The 12,479-nt window shown below is 41.8% G+C and overlaps 1 protein-coding gene across 3 annotated transcripts; it reads left to right on the top strand.

Annotated features, from left to right (window-relative positions):
* On the top strand, positions 4,101–11,505 carry MBL2 (mannose binding lectin 2). 3 transcript variants are annotated; one of them, NM_001378373.1, is made up of 5 exons: positions 4,101–4,148; positions 5,241–5,436; positions 6,099–6,215; positions 7,570–7,638; positions 8,375–11,505. In NM_001378373.1, exons 2-5 carry the CDS (start codon positions 5,250–5,252, stop codon positions 8,746–8,748), a joined length of 747 nt encoding a protein of 248 aa, NP_001365302.1. In that variant the 5' UTR covers positions 4,101–4,148; positions 5,241–5,249; the 3' UTR covers positions 8,749–11,505. The 3 variants fall into 3 exon arrangements, with proteins under 3 accessions (NP_001365302.1, NP_001365303.1, NP_000233.1); NM_001378374.1 differs by having other exon boundaries at positions 5,226–5,436; NM_000242.3 differs by lacking the exon at positions 4,101–4,148 and having other exon boundaries at positions 5,233–5,436.

Below are 12,479 nucleotides of genomic sequence, written 5' to 3'. Positions count from 1 at the left end.
GGGCAGAAGGAAGAATGGCAGTAAGGAATGTCTGAGGAGAGTCTGAAAGCCACATGTGTTCTGATTTCTGTGGCAAAAGAGCAGGTCTTTGCTATCCTAACTACTGAGCTGCCTTTCACTGCAGCCACCCTGTGTTCAAGGCCATGTCACAGATAAGCATGTCTCTATCACATGGGCAGATATGACACCCTCTGACCACCCACCCCATGGCTATAGGGGCCTAAGGTAGTCCTTGCCAGATGCAGTGCGCCTGTGTATTTGTGTTGGTTAAAAAGAAGGCCTGTGACATTTACACATTCTCAGAGAGTTCATGAGCAAAAACAAGCAAAGAAAAAATAGCAGGACTGGAACACAGGACAGTACAGGATGAAAAGTATGGGAAGGTCAGGCCTTAGGGTTACAAAGGACACTGCTGACAACAAGAAAGCAGCCTACCGCTGTCAGCTGTCTCTCACAGCCTGTCTCTCATGGCCAGACCATGGTATTCCCTGCTGACCCTAAACACTTCCACAGAATACCGGTGTACAACAATATTACTCTGTTGTGAGATCCCAAATCATTCCAAAATCATGTCTTCATATAGACAGAAAAGGTTGCTCTGTGAACCACAAAAACGAAAAACATGCCCCTCTCCTGCTTAATATAAACATCTGCCACTCTTTTACAAAATACAGCTTCGCCTTGCTCTGTTCTACTTATCTCCTAAATAAAAGTTAAGATGCACAATCACAGAATTGCCCAGCTTACGGACAGCACCCTATCCAGAACAGACTCCTGCTTCTTAAACCCCTTCCCCCAAAACCAACTAAAACAAAACAAGTCTTATAGAAATCCCCTCCCGACACCCTGTTACTGAGAAATCCTAGGGTACACCATTGTGCTCAATATCCCTGTTGGAACAAACAGTTAAAAGAAACTAAAAATAATAAATCCATTTTATCTGACTATAAGCATATTCCTGATGGTCCTCACTTGGAGAGCAATAACATTCTCATTGCTATTGTCCTACTCACAGCAGCTCTGTGGAAAAGGGAATGAGGTTCAAAATCTGATTTGAAAGATGTAAAACTGAGGTTCGGCCAGAATATGGGGTCTATCTAAGCTCATATTCATGAGACAAAACCAAGCCTTCTGGTTTCCAATCTCAAACCATGCCTCTCACATGGAGCCACCCAAGAACACTGCTTCCCAAGCTGAGAAGACTCTTGAACAGTCACCCTGGAGGGAATGAAGGCCTTTCTTAAGCAGGCTGTCATGGTGAGCCACGTGCCATGCACTCTGAATGTGGACCAGTTAAGGACACACCACTCCACAGCCAAGGCAGCGGTGCCCTCTTTCCCAGACGAGGAAACTGAGGACATGAAGGCAGTGGAACTTGAATAAGGTCACACTGTTGGGAAGTGGGAGAGCTGGGATTTCACCCTAGTCTACAAAAAAGGGGATGTAGGGCACCAGGCAGTCCTCCTGCAGGTCAGAGAGGCAGTTTTCTCTGCAGCCTCTTGGGGTGAGGTGGATTTGTTGTGGCGCTGCCAGAATGGAAGCAGTGTTAGGAAAGTGGAAAGTTTTTTTTTTTTTTAGACGGAGAGGCTCTGTCGCCCAGGCTGGAGCGCAGTGGTGCAATCTCAGCTCACTGCAAGCTCCGCCTCCCGGGCTCACTCCATTCTCCTGCCTCAGCCTCCTGGGTAGCTGGGATTACAGGCACCCGCCACCACGCCCGGCTAGTTTGTTGTTTTTTTTTTTTTTGTATTTTTTAGTAGAGATGGGGTTTCACTGTGTTAGCCAGGATGGTCTCAATCTCCTGACCTCATGATCCGCCCGCCTCGGCCTCCCAAGGTGCTGGGATTACAGGAGTGAGCCACCACGCCTGGCTGGGAAGGGTTTTAAAGTCCAGAACAAATGCACACAGTGGCCTTATCTATGGGGTGGAGTGCAGAGTGGGCATTCGTGTGGAGAGAGACATTCAGGCTGCGGCATGTGGAGAGTGGCCTCTCCTTTTGGGAAAGGCCTTCTGGAGAGCAGGATGTAACTGGGTGACACTCCAATCTCCGGATCAATTGCTAGATTGACTTTCCCCCAGATACCCACACCCTCTGAACCCAGTTCTAGGAAATTTCAGGGTCTGGAGAGCAGTTTCCTGACCTCTGGACTAGGTAAACAATGAAAGCAAGCACTGTGATTAAAGCCAGCACCGCCAGTGACCTGGAGTCAACTACCTCACCTCACCTTCTGCCACTGGAGCAGGAGCAGGGGGAAGCTCTGGCTGCTAAAGAATAAGAAGGGAAACAAGTCTTCTCAGGCCCTGTCTTCTTTAGGCCCTGGATCTCCTGATATCCACTGATGGCTTTAGGCATGTGGCTCTGTACCATCCTGGACATTTTTCCAGGCACAGCAGACAGGTCAGCAGGAAGTAAGGAAGCCAGTCCCTCCACAAGCCAAGAAGACTTCAATTGGAAGGGACCTGGAAATGCATCTTACTCACATTTCTTTTGGTGTTTGGAGGCCTCCATAGTACCCCCACCACATGGCCCCGCAGCCTCTGAACTTCTCAGGATGGGCTCCCCAACACCCCAAGCTACATGGCATTTTTCTGAAAGCCATATCAGTAATGTAGTTGAGAATCAAATGAACTATGTTCGTAAAAGTATTCTTCCATCCCTTCTAGATTGTCCCCATTAACCACAGCAAGATGGTTCAAGCCATTAACACACACGATACCCATGATCTTATAGTGCCAAGTGCTGTTCTTTTGCTTCTTATCTCAGTTGAGTGGCTCCTAGATAGTCAAGTCATAAATGTGTGTGCCCATGAAAACTTCTTATTATCACTCACTATTCTAGCTAATTCTCAAGTGCAATCAATACCTCCTGTTTCTCAAGTGTGCCTACCTTCTTAATCTAGCTGCCATTACCCTGACCCAGGCCACTGTCTTCTGCTGCTTAGATCATGGCAAGCACTTCCTTTTAGATCTGCTTTTCTCCAGTCCTGTTCCCCTCAACATCATAGCCAGAACAAGCCTTGCAAAATTCAAATGTGATCACCTCTCCACTACTGCAGTCCCTCTAGTGCCCCCTGGAAGGAAACCCAAAGTCTTTAACACAGTTTACAATTCTTGTTATGAGGATGAAATTTGAAGACATTGTGCTAAGTGAAATAAGCCAGATACAAGGGGGCTATTGTATGATTTCACATATATGAGGTACCTAGGATAGATGAATTCAGAGAGACAGAAAGTAAAACAGAAGTTACCAGTGGCTGTGGGTAGGGGTAAATGGAGAATTCTAGTTTAATGAGTTGAGAGTTTCAGTTTGGGATGATGAAAATCATCCCATGATGTGGTGATGATAGCACAACCGTGTGAATGTACTTAATGCTACTGAGTTGTGTGCTTAATAATAATGGTCAAAATGGTAAATTTTATGTCTATTTTACCACAATGAAAAACTGGAAAAGTAAAGTCAATGACTATAATATCATAAAGTGTAAGTAACATGAGAGAAAATAATTCAGGCTAAGAGGATAGAGACTGCTAGGTAGGACTATTTTAGAATAAGTGATCAAGGTACTGATTTCTCTGAAATTGGAATATTTGAATAGAAGAGAAAGAGCTAGCTGGCGATGCCCGTAAGGGGTCCAGGCATGGAGACATCAAATGAAGAGTCTGAGGCAGGAATGGCCTTAATGCATTAATGGCAGCAAGAGGTCTATGTGGTTTCATGGATGGGTGTGTGCGTGCATGCACGTGTCTGTGTGTATAGTTGGTGTGCATGAGCATGTGTATGCATTTGTGAGTATCTTTGTTTTTCTGTTGGAAACAAGGATGTCAACAGGACTAACTAGGTGAACCTAGCTGTGGTAGTTCAGCAATGAGATTTGCCAAAATGGATGGCAATTGAAAGAGGAATTGTGCTGTATTAAAGCAGACAGCTGCCGAGCACTGTATTGGAGGCTCCTAAATTTCTCATAGTTCTGAGAAGAGCTGTTTATTAATCTGGAGTTGAAGGCCAGGCCCAGGATATCCTTGTTCACAAGGTTGATTGGGCCCTACATTGCTGAGCCCAGCCTCCTCCCTCACTCTGAGGCATCTGCCAGAGCCCCAGGCTAGAGGGCCAGCGTCCTTGTCACTGAGTCCCTGCTCTGCAGAAACACCAGTAAGTCATTTCTGGTGAATAAATCTGGGTTTCCGGATCAAGGGTTTGGGGAGCTGACATGACCCTGGAGGCATGGAGGAGGCTTTCTAGGGGTGGGGGGAGTGGGATGGAAAGCAGAAATCAGGTTGAGGATGTCTCTTTTTCTGCTTGTGCTGGAGCATCTGTGACTTTCCTCCATTATCTGTTCATCTGCAGTGGAGACTGTCTTTGTTTTCAAAGGGAAACTTGGAGGCTTAGACCTATGGGGCTAGGCTGCTGAGGTTTCTTAGGGGGCAATAGCTGGAAGAAAGCTCTGAAGAACAAATGAAAGGTTAATACTGAGAAATGGGAGGAGGATTCAAGGCAAGTTTTCTAATTGCCAGTGGTTTTTGACTCACAGAACATGGGGAATTCCTGCCAGAAAGTAGAGAGGTATTTAGCACTCTGCCAGGGCCAACGTAGTAAGAAATTTCCAGAGAAAATGCTTACCCAGGCAAGCCTGTCTAAAACACCAAGGGGAAGCAAACTCCAGTTAATTCTGGGCTGGGTTGGTGACTAAGGTTGAGGTTGATCTGAGGTTGAGACCTTCCTCTTTGGATCACCAGCTTTCAGCTCAGGGCCTGCCAATGAGTAAATGATAGTTAACAGGTCCTGGAGGGGAATCAGCTGCCCAGATACAAAGATGGGATTCAGGTGGCAGATGGACCCGAAGAGGACATGGAGAGAAAGAGGAAGCTCCTACAGACACCTGGGTTTCCACTCATTCTCATTCCCTAAGCTAACAGGCATAAGCCAGCTGGCAATGCACGGTCCCATTTGTTCTCACTGCCACCGAAAGCATGTTTATAGTCTTCCAGCAGCAACGCCAGGTGTCTAGGCACAGATGAACCCCTCCTTAGGATCCCCACTGCTCATCATAGTGCCTACCTTTGTTAAAGTACTAGTCACGCAGTGTCACAAGGAATGTTTACTTTTCCAAATCCCCAGCTAGAGGCCAGGGATGGGTCATCTATTTCTATATAGCCTGCACCCAGATTGTAGGACAGAGGGCATGCTCGGTAAATATGTGTTCATTAACTGAGATTAACCTTCCCTGAGTTTTCTCACACCAAGGTGAGGACCATGTCCCTGTTTCCATCACTCCCTCTCCTTCTCCTGAGTATGGTGGCAGCGTCTTACTCAGAAACTGTGACCTGTGAGGATGCCCAAAAGACCTGCCCTGCAGTGATTGCCTGTAGCTCTCCAGGCATCAACGGCTTCCCAGGCAAAGATGGGCGTGATGGCACCAAGGGAGAAAAGGGGGAACCAGGTACGTGTTGGGCTGTTCTGTCTCTGCAATTCTTTACCTTCCAGAGGAAACTGCCTGGGGATATGAGGAGACTGATGTCCTATTTGAGTATATTTTTCTCAACTATACTGTAACTCAAAACAGAGATTCAGCTCTCATTCTCTGGCATCTCAGAATTCCACACAGCAGTTTGTGACTAATAGTTGTCTTGCCAGCCCAGGAAAGTGGCCCACAGGTCAGGCCATCCCGTGGGACACAGGATGAATTTTTCTTCTCTGGGTCATTGTCATGTCAGACCCCTATTCACTTCAGTAGGGATGGCACCAGGTTCAAGAGGCCAAAGAAGAGATGGAGTCAGCAAACAAACATAGGTTTTACTGGGGGAATCTGTTTACAGGGAGATCCAGCAGCAGTGGGCTGGACAGGAGAACAACAACTACTGGTAAAAACAAATGCAGTTAATTTTCACTTTGCACCCTCCCTGCAGCAACCTCCACGTGGCAACTTTATTTCTTAAGTTATTGCTCTCAGGTGCCCACCATACAGTTATTGAGAGCAGTGCTCAGAAAGGTCAGTCCTGGGTCAAGGTCTCCTTTCTCCTGAGAAGGGATTGGGCATCAAACTCTTGAAGAGAGAGAGCAAGAACATAGATATTAAGTCACATTTCCTTTGTCTTCCAACAGGCCAAGGGCTCAGAGGCTTACAGGGCCCCCCTGGAAAGTTGGGGCCTCCAGGAAATCCAGGGCCTTCTGGGTCACCAGGACCAAAGGGCCAAAAAGGAGACCCTGGAAAAAGTCCGGGTAAGGACCCCAGCAAGGTCTGAGCTGACTTCACCCAGGGTTCTGAGACCTTGAGTATCTGGTAAGAGGTGCCCCTTCTCCTGTTCCTTCAAAGGAAGATACCCAAATTTGCTTTCTGACCCAGTGCCCTCAGCCCTCTCTTCATTCTTAGAGCCTTAGGGAATTCCTATAAGTGCCTGAGTACAGACTTACAAACTTTTCAAGACAACTCCCTCATCAGGCACTCCCTGTAAGAGCTGAGCCTGGATTCTCCATCAGCTGAAACAGTCTAATGTGAGGCCCTGGTCCTAGAGGGAGAAAACAGGCCATCTAAGTGTGGGCTTATTATACCTATTTTTACAAAAGCATGTAACCATGGTATGTCATATTTTACTTCATAAGAAACCAAGCCAAAGCTTAATAGCTTAAAAACATAGCCGTCAATTTAAATCACAAGTCTGTGGGTCGGCCATGTGATTTCTCTGCTGGTTTAAGCTGGGCTTACCCACATGTCTGTGGTCAACTGATGGCCAATAGTCTCACTCATGTGTCTGGCTGTTGTCTGAATGTTAGCTGGAGTGATGAGGGTAATTGAACCACATCTCTCATCATCCAACAGGGCTTGTTCACATAGCAGTGATTACAGGATTCCCAAGAGTAGAAATAAGATAGGCTTTAGGCTTCTTGAAGACTCAGAGCACATTATCATTTCTGTCAGACTGTATTGGTCAAAACAAGTCACAAGGCCAGCCCAGATTCAAGGAGTGGGGTAATAGACTCATGTCTTAATGCGAGGAGCTGTACCCTATTGAGGCCATTTTTGCCATCTACTACAACAAGTGATTTGCTCATGCCCTCCCCACTTGGATAATGGGCAACTCACAAAAATCTTGGTTTCCTGACTAACAGAACAAACCTGGAAAAAACAAAAACAAAACAAAAGACATCAAAAGCAAAACCTCTCCAAAGACAAAAACTCTGCAATCTTTTTCGTCACTCTTCACCAGGTCATAATAGAGTAACGCCTCAAGAGATTTCTTTTTAGTTTTGATAGAACAATTTATTTGAAAAAAAAATCTGTGAAGAACCTGGCATATGGATTGCTAGGTAATCAGGGAGTATATGTGTGCATGTGATATGTATGCGTACTTTGGGATACAGTAAACAGACAAAGAGGGACATTTGGGGTTGGATGGAAATAGCGATTTTTCATTCTTTGGGCTTTTCAGTATTTTTTATTTTCCTTCAAAGTGTAAACATCAATGTAAAATAAGCTTTTTTTTTCAGTTTGAAAAAGATACTCCACTCCCTTGTATATGCACAGTTCTGAGGCTCCTTCTCAACAATGCTTCTTTACTTTGTTCTAATTTTCTAGATGGTGATAGTAGCCTGGCTGCCTCAGAAAGAAAAGCTCTGCAAACAGAAATGGCACGTATCAAAAAGTGTAAGCTTTTTCTCTTACTCTCCAGGCAGCTTGAAGTTTGGGAAAAATAGAATGCAACAAATATTTGTTGAATGCATATAATTTTCTGTACCCTGCTAGGCATTTCTCATATTCTTACCTCATGAAATTCTCACAACATTTTGGTAGAAATGGAGGCAAAGGGAAGTTAAATTACTTGTTCAAATGCACAGAGCTAATAAATGGCAGGGGTGGTTTATAGATGGAAGTCAGTCTGACTCGAGAGACCCTAATCCTTTACCGTCTGATATTGCTCACTGAAAATGGGACTTATATCCCTTTGTTGCACTGGTATTGAGACCTGGCCGTGGGGTCTAACCTGCCTGGGGCAAATATTTTCAGACATTTTTTGTTTGGTCTCAAGTTAACAATTTAGAATTCAGAAGTCCAAATTATATGTCTTTTAGAATTCTGATCTGAAAGCACAGAGAGGCCTTTGTACCAGTCTGTCTGTTCACATTTGGGTTGCCATATTTAACAAATAAAAAGACAAAGCACCAGTTAAATTGGATTTCAGCTGAAAAACATTTTTAGTATAAGTGTGTCTGAAAAATTATATGGGAGATATACTAAAATATTCATTGTTTGTCTGAAATTCAAATTTAACTGGACATACTATATTTTATCCGGCAACTGTACTCTAGAAGACTTTTTCTTGAGAAATACCTTGAGTTGGGCTTAAGGATGAGTCAGTTTCACCCACTTTTTCACATTTTAGGGCTCACCTTCTCTCTGGGCAAACAAGTTGGGAACAAGTTCTTCCTGACCAATGGTGAAATAATGACCTTTGAAAAAGTGAAGGCCTTGTGTGTCAAGTTCCAGGCCTCTGTGGCCACCCCCAGGAATGCTGCAGAGAATGGAGCCATTCAGAATCTCATCAAGGAGGAAGCCTTCCTGGGCATCACTGATGAGAAGACAGAAGGGCAGTTTGTGGATCTGACAGGAAATAGACTGACCTACACAAACTGGAACGAGGGTGAACCCAACAATGCTGGTTCTGATGAAGATTGTGTATTGCTACTGAAAAATGGCCAGTGGAATGACGTCCCCTGCTCCACCTCCCATCTGGCCGTCTGTGAGTTCCCTATCTGAAGGGTCATATCACTCAGGCCCTCCTTGTCTTTTTACTGCAACCCACAGGCCCACAGTATGCTTGAAAAGATAAATTATATCAATTTCCTCATATCCAGTATTGTTCCTTTTGTGGGCAATCACTAAAAATGATCACTAACAGCACCAACAAAGCAATAATAGTAGTAGTAGTAGTTAGCAGCAGCAGTAGTAGTCATGCTAATTATATAATATTTTTAATATATACTATGAGGCCCTATCTTTTGCATCCTACATTAATTATCTAGTTTAATTAATCTGTAATGCTTTCGATAGTGTTAACTTGCTGCAGTATGAAAATAAGACGGATTTATTTTTCCATTTACAACAAACACCTGTGCTCTGTTGAGCCTTCCTTTCTGTTTGGGTAGAGGGCTCCCCTAATGACATCACCACAGTTTAATACCACAGCTTTTTACCAAGTTTCAGGTATTAAGAAAATCTATTTTGTAACTTTCTCTATGAACTCTGTTTTCTTTCTAATGAGATATTAAACCATGTAAAGAACATAAATAACAAATCTCAAGCAAACAGCTTCACAAATTCTCACACACATACATACCTATATACTCACTTTCTAGATTAAGATATGGGACATTTTTGACTCCCTAGAAGCCCCGTTATAACTCCTCCTAGTACTAACTCCTAGGAAAATACTATTCTGACCTCCATGACTGCACAGTAATTTCGTCTGTTTATAAACATTGTATAGTTGGAATCATATTGTGTGTAATGTTGTATGTCTTGTTTACTCAGAATTAAGTCTGTGAGATTCATTCATGTCATGTGTACAAAAGTTTCATCCTTTTCATTGCCATGTAGGGTTCCCTTATATTAATATTCCTCAGTTCATCCATTCTATTGTTAATAGGCACTTAAGTGGCTTCCAATTTTTGGCCATGAGGAAGAGAACCCACGAACATTCCTGGACTTGTCTTTTGGTGGACATGGTGCACTAATTTCACTACCTATCCAGGAGTGGAACTGGTAGAGGATGAGGAAAGCATGTATTCAGCTTTAGTAGATATTACCAGTTTTCCTAAGTGATTGTATGAATTTATGCTCCTACCGGCAATGTGTGGCAGTCCTAGATGCTCTATGTGCTTGTAAAAAGTCAATGTTTTCAGTTCTCTTGATTTTCATTATTCCTGTGGATGTAAAGTGATATTTCCCCATGGTTTTAATCTGTATTTCCCCAACATGTAATAAGGTTGAACACTTTTTTATATGCTTATTGGGCACTTGGGTATCTTCTTTTGTGAAGTACCCGTTCACATTTTTGTATTTTGTTTAAATTAGTTAGCCAATATTTTTCTTACTGATTTTTAAGTTATTTTTACATTCTGAATATGTCCTTTTTAATGTGTATTACAAATATTTTGCTAGTTTTTGACTTGCTCCTAATGTTGAATTTTGATGAACAAAATTTCCTAATTTTGAGAAAGTCTTATTTATTCATATTTTCTTTCAAAATTAGTGCTTTTTGTGTCATGTTTAAGAAATTTTTGCCCATCCCAAAATCATAAGATATTTTTCATGATTTTGAAACCATGAAGAGATTTTTCATGATTTTGAAATCATGAAGATATTTTTCCATTTTTTTCTAATAGTTTTATTAATAAACATTCTATCTATTCCTGGTAGAATAGATATCCACTTGAGACAGCACTATGTAGGAAAGACCATTTTTCCTCCACTGAACTAGGGTGGTGCATTTTTGTAAGTTAGGTAACTGTATGTGTGTGTGTCTGTTTCTGGGCTGTCTATTCTAGTCTATTTGTTGATGCTTGTGTCAAACAGTACACTATCTTAATTATTGTACATTTATAGTTGTAACTATAGTCCAGCTTTGTTCTTCTTAAAGTCAAGATTTCCATATAAATATTAGAAACAGCTTCTCAATTTCTACAAAATCCTGATGAGGTTTCTACTGGGACCACATTGAGTCTATCAATCAACTTATGCAGAACTGGCAACTTACTACTGAATCTCTAATCAATGTTCATCATGTATCGCTTCATGTAACTAGAATTTCTTTAACTTAATTGCTATGTTTTGACATTTTTAGTTTAAAAACCTTGTATATCTTGTTTTGGTGGTTTTAGTGATTTTAATAATATATTTTAAATATTTTTTCTTTTCTATTGTTGTACACAGAAATACAGTTAAGTTTTGTGTGTAGTCTTACGATGTTTAGTAAACTCAATAAGTTTATTTCTTAAATCTAGTAATTTGTAGATTCCTCTGGATTTTGTATATGCATAGTCATGTAAGCTGAAAATATGGCAATACTTGCTTCTTCCCAATTGCTTTACCTTTTTTCTTACCTTATTGCACTGGTTAGCAACCCCAATACAGAGACCACCAGATCAGGTATAGACTCCTGAAAGACAATATAATGAAGTGCTCCAGTCAGGCCTATCTAAACTGGATTCACAGCTCTGTCACTTAATTGCTACATGATCTAGAGCCAGTTACTTTGTGTTTCAGCCATGTATTTGCAGCTGAGAGAAAATAATCATTCTTATTTCATGAAAATTGTGGGGATGATGAAATAAGTTAACACCTTTAAAGTGTGTAGTAAAGTATCAGGATACTATATTTTAGGTCTTAATACACACAGTTATGCCGCTAGATACATGCTTTTTAATGAGATAATGTGATATTATACATAACACATATCGATTTTTAAAAATTAAATCAACCTTGCTTTGATGGAATAAACTCCATTTAGTCACATTTTATCTTGTGTATGTATTATTGGAGTGGACTTGTTAATAGTTTGTTTAGAACGTTTGCACCTATGTTCATGAGAGATACTAGCTTTTTTTCCCCTCCTTAATGCACTTGCTATGGTTTGGGGTCAATGTTATGTAAGCCTCATTAAAATGAGCTGTGATGTGCTCTCATGCTCCTTATTATCTAAAATAATTTGTGTAAAATTATACTTTAATGTTAGATAAATTCACCAGTGAAGCCATCTTGGAATGGTGTTTTCTGTTGGGAAATGATTTTAATTTCAGATTTAATTTCCTCATGATCTAAACCTATTCATGTTTTCTGTCTTTTGTTCGGTTTCAGTGAGTTATATTTTTCAATGAATGTGTCAATTTCCTCTGAATATATATGTATTGGCATAAAATTGTTACAATATCTTTGTATTTCTTTTCAATATAAGTAGGATCTATAGCAATGTCTATGTATCTGTTATGATTATTTGCATTTTATCTTTATTTTATTGTATTTTTTTTTGAGATGGAGTCTCACTCTGTCACCCAGGCTGGAGTGGCTGGAGTACAGTGGCACGATCTTGGCTCACTGCAATCTCTGCCTCCCAGGTTCAAGAGATTCTCCTGCCTCAGCCTCCCAGGTAGCTGGGATTACAGATGCCCACCACCATTCCTGGCTAATTTTTTTAATTTTTTGTGGAGACGAGGTTTCGCCATGCTGGCTAGGCTGGTCTCAAACCCCTGACCTGAGGTGATCTACCTGCCTCAGCCTCCCAAAGTGCTGGGATTACAGGCATGAGCCACTGTGCTTGGCCCATCTCTTTTTTTCTTAATCAATCTTGCAAAGGATTTGTCCATTTTATTAAATTTTTCCAAAAACTTCTTTTTGGTGTTTACTAACCTCTATGATTACATTTATTTATATCTGTTCCTGTCTTTATCATTTCTTGTATCGATCTTCTGTGGGTTTAATTGGCCATTCTT

Source organism: Homo sapiens, chromosome 10 (assembly GCF_000001405.40).
Source record: "Homo sapiens chromosome 10, GRCh38.p14 Primary Assembly".
In the NCBI taxonomy this organism is placed as follows: Eukaryota; Metazoa; Chordata; class Mammalia; order Primates; family Hominidae; genus Homo; species Homo sapiens.
The sequence above is the reverse complement of the archived record's forward strand: the minus strand, read 5'-3'. Positions and strand labels throughout refer to the sequence as shown.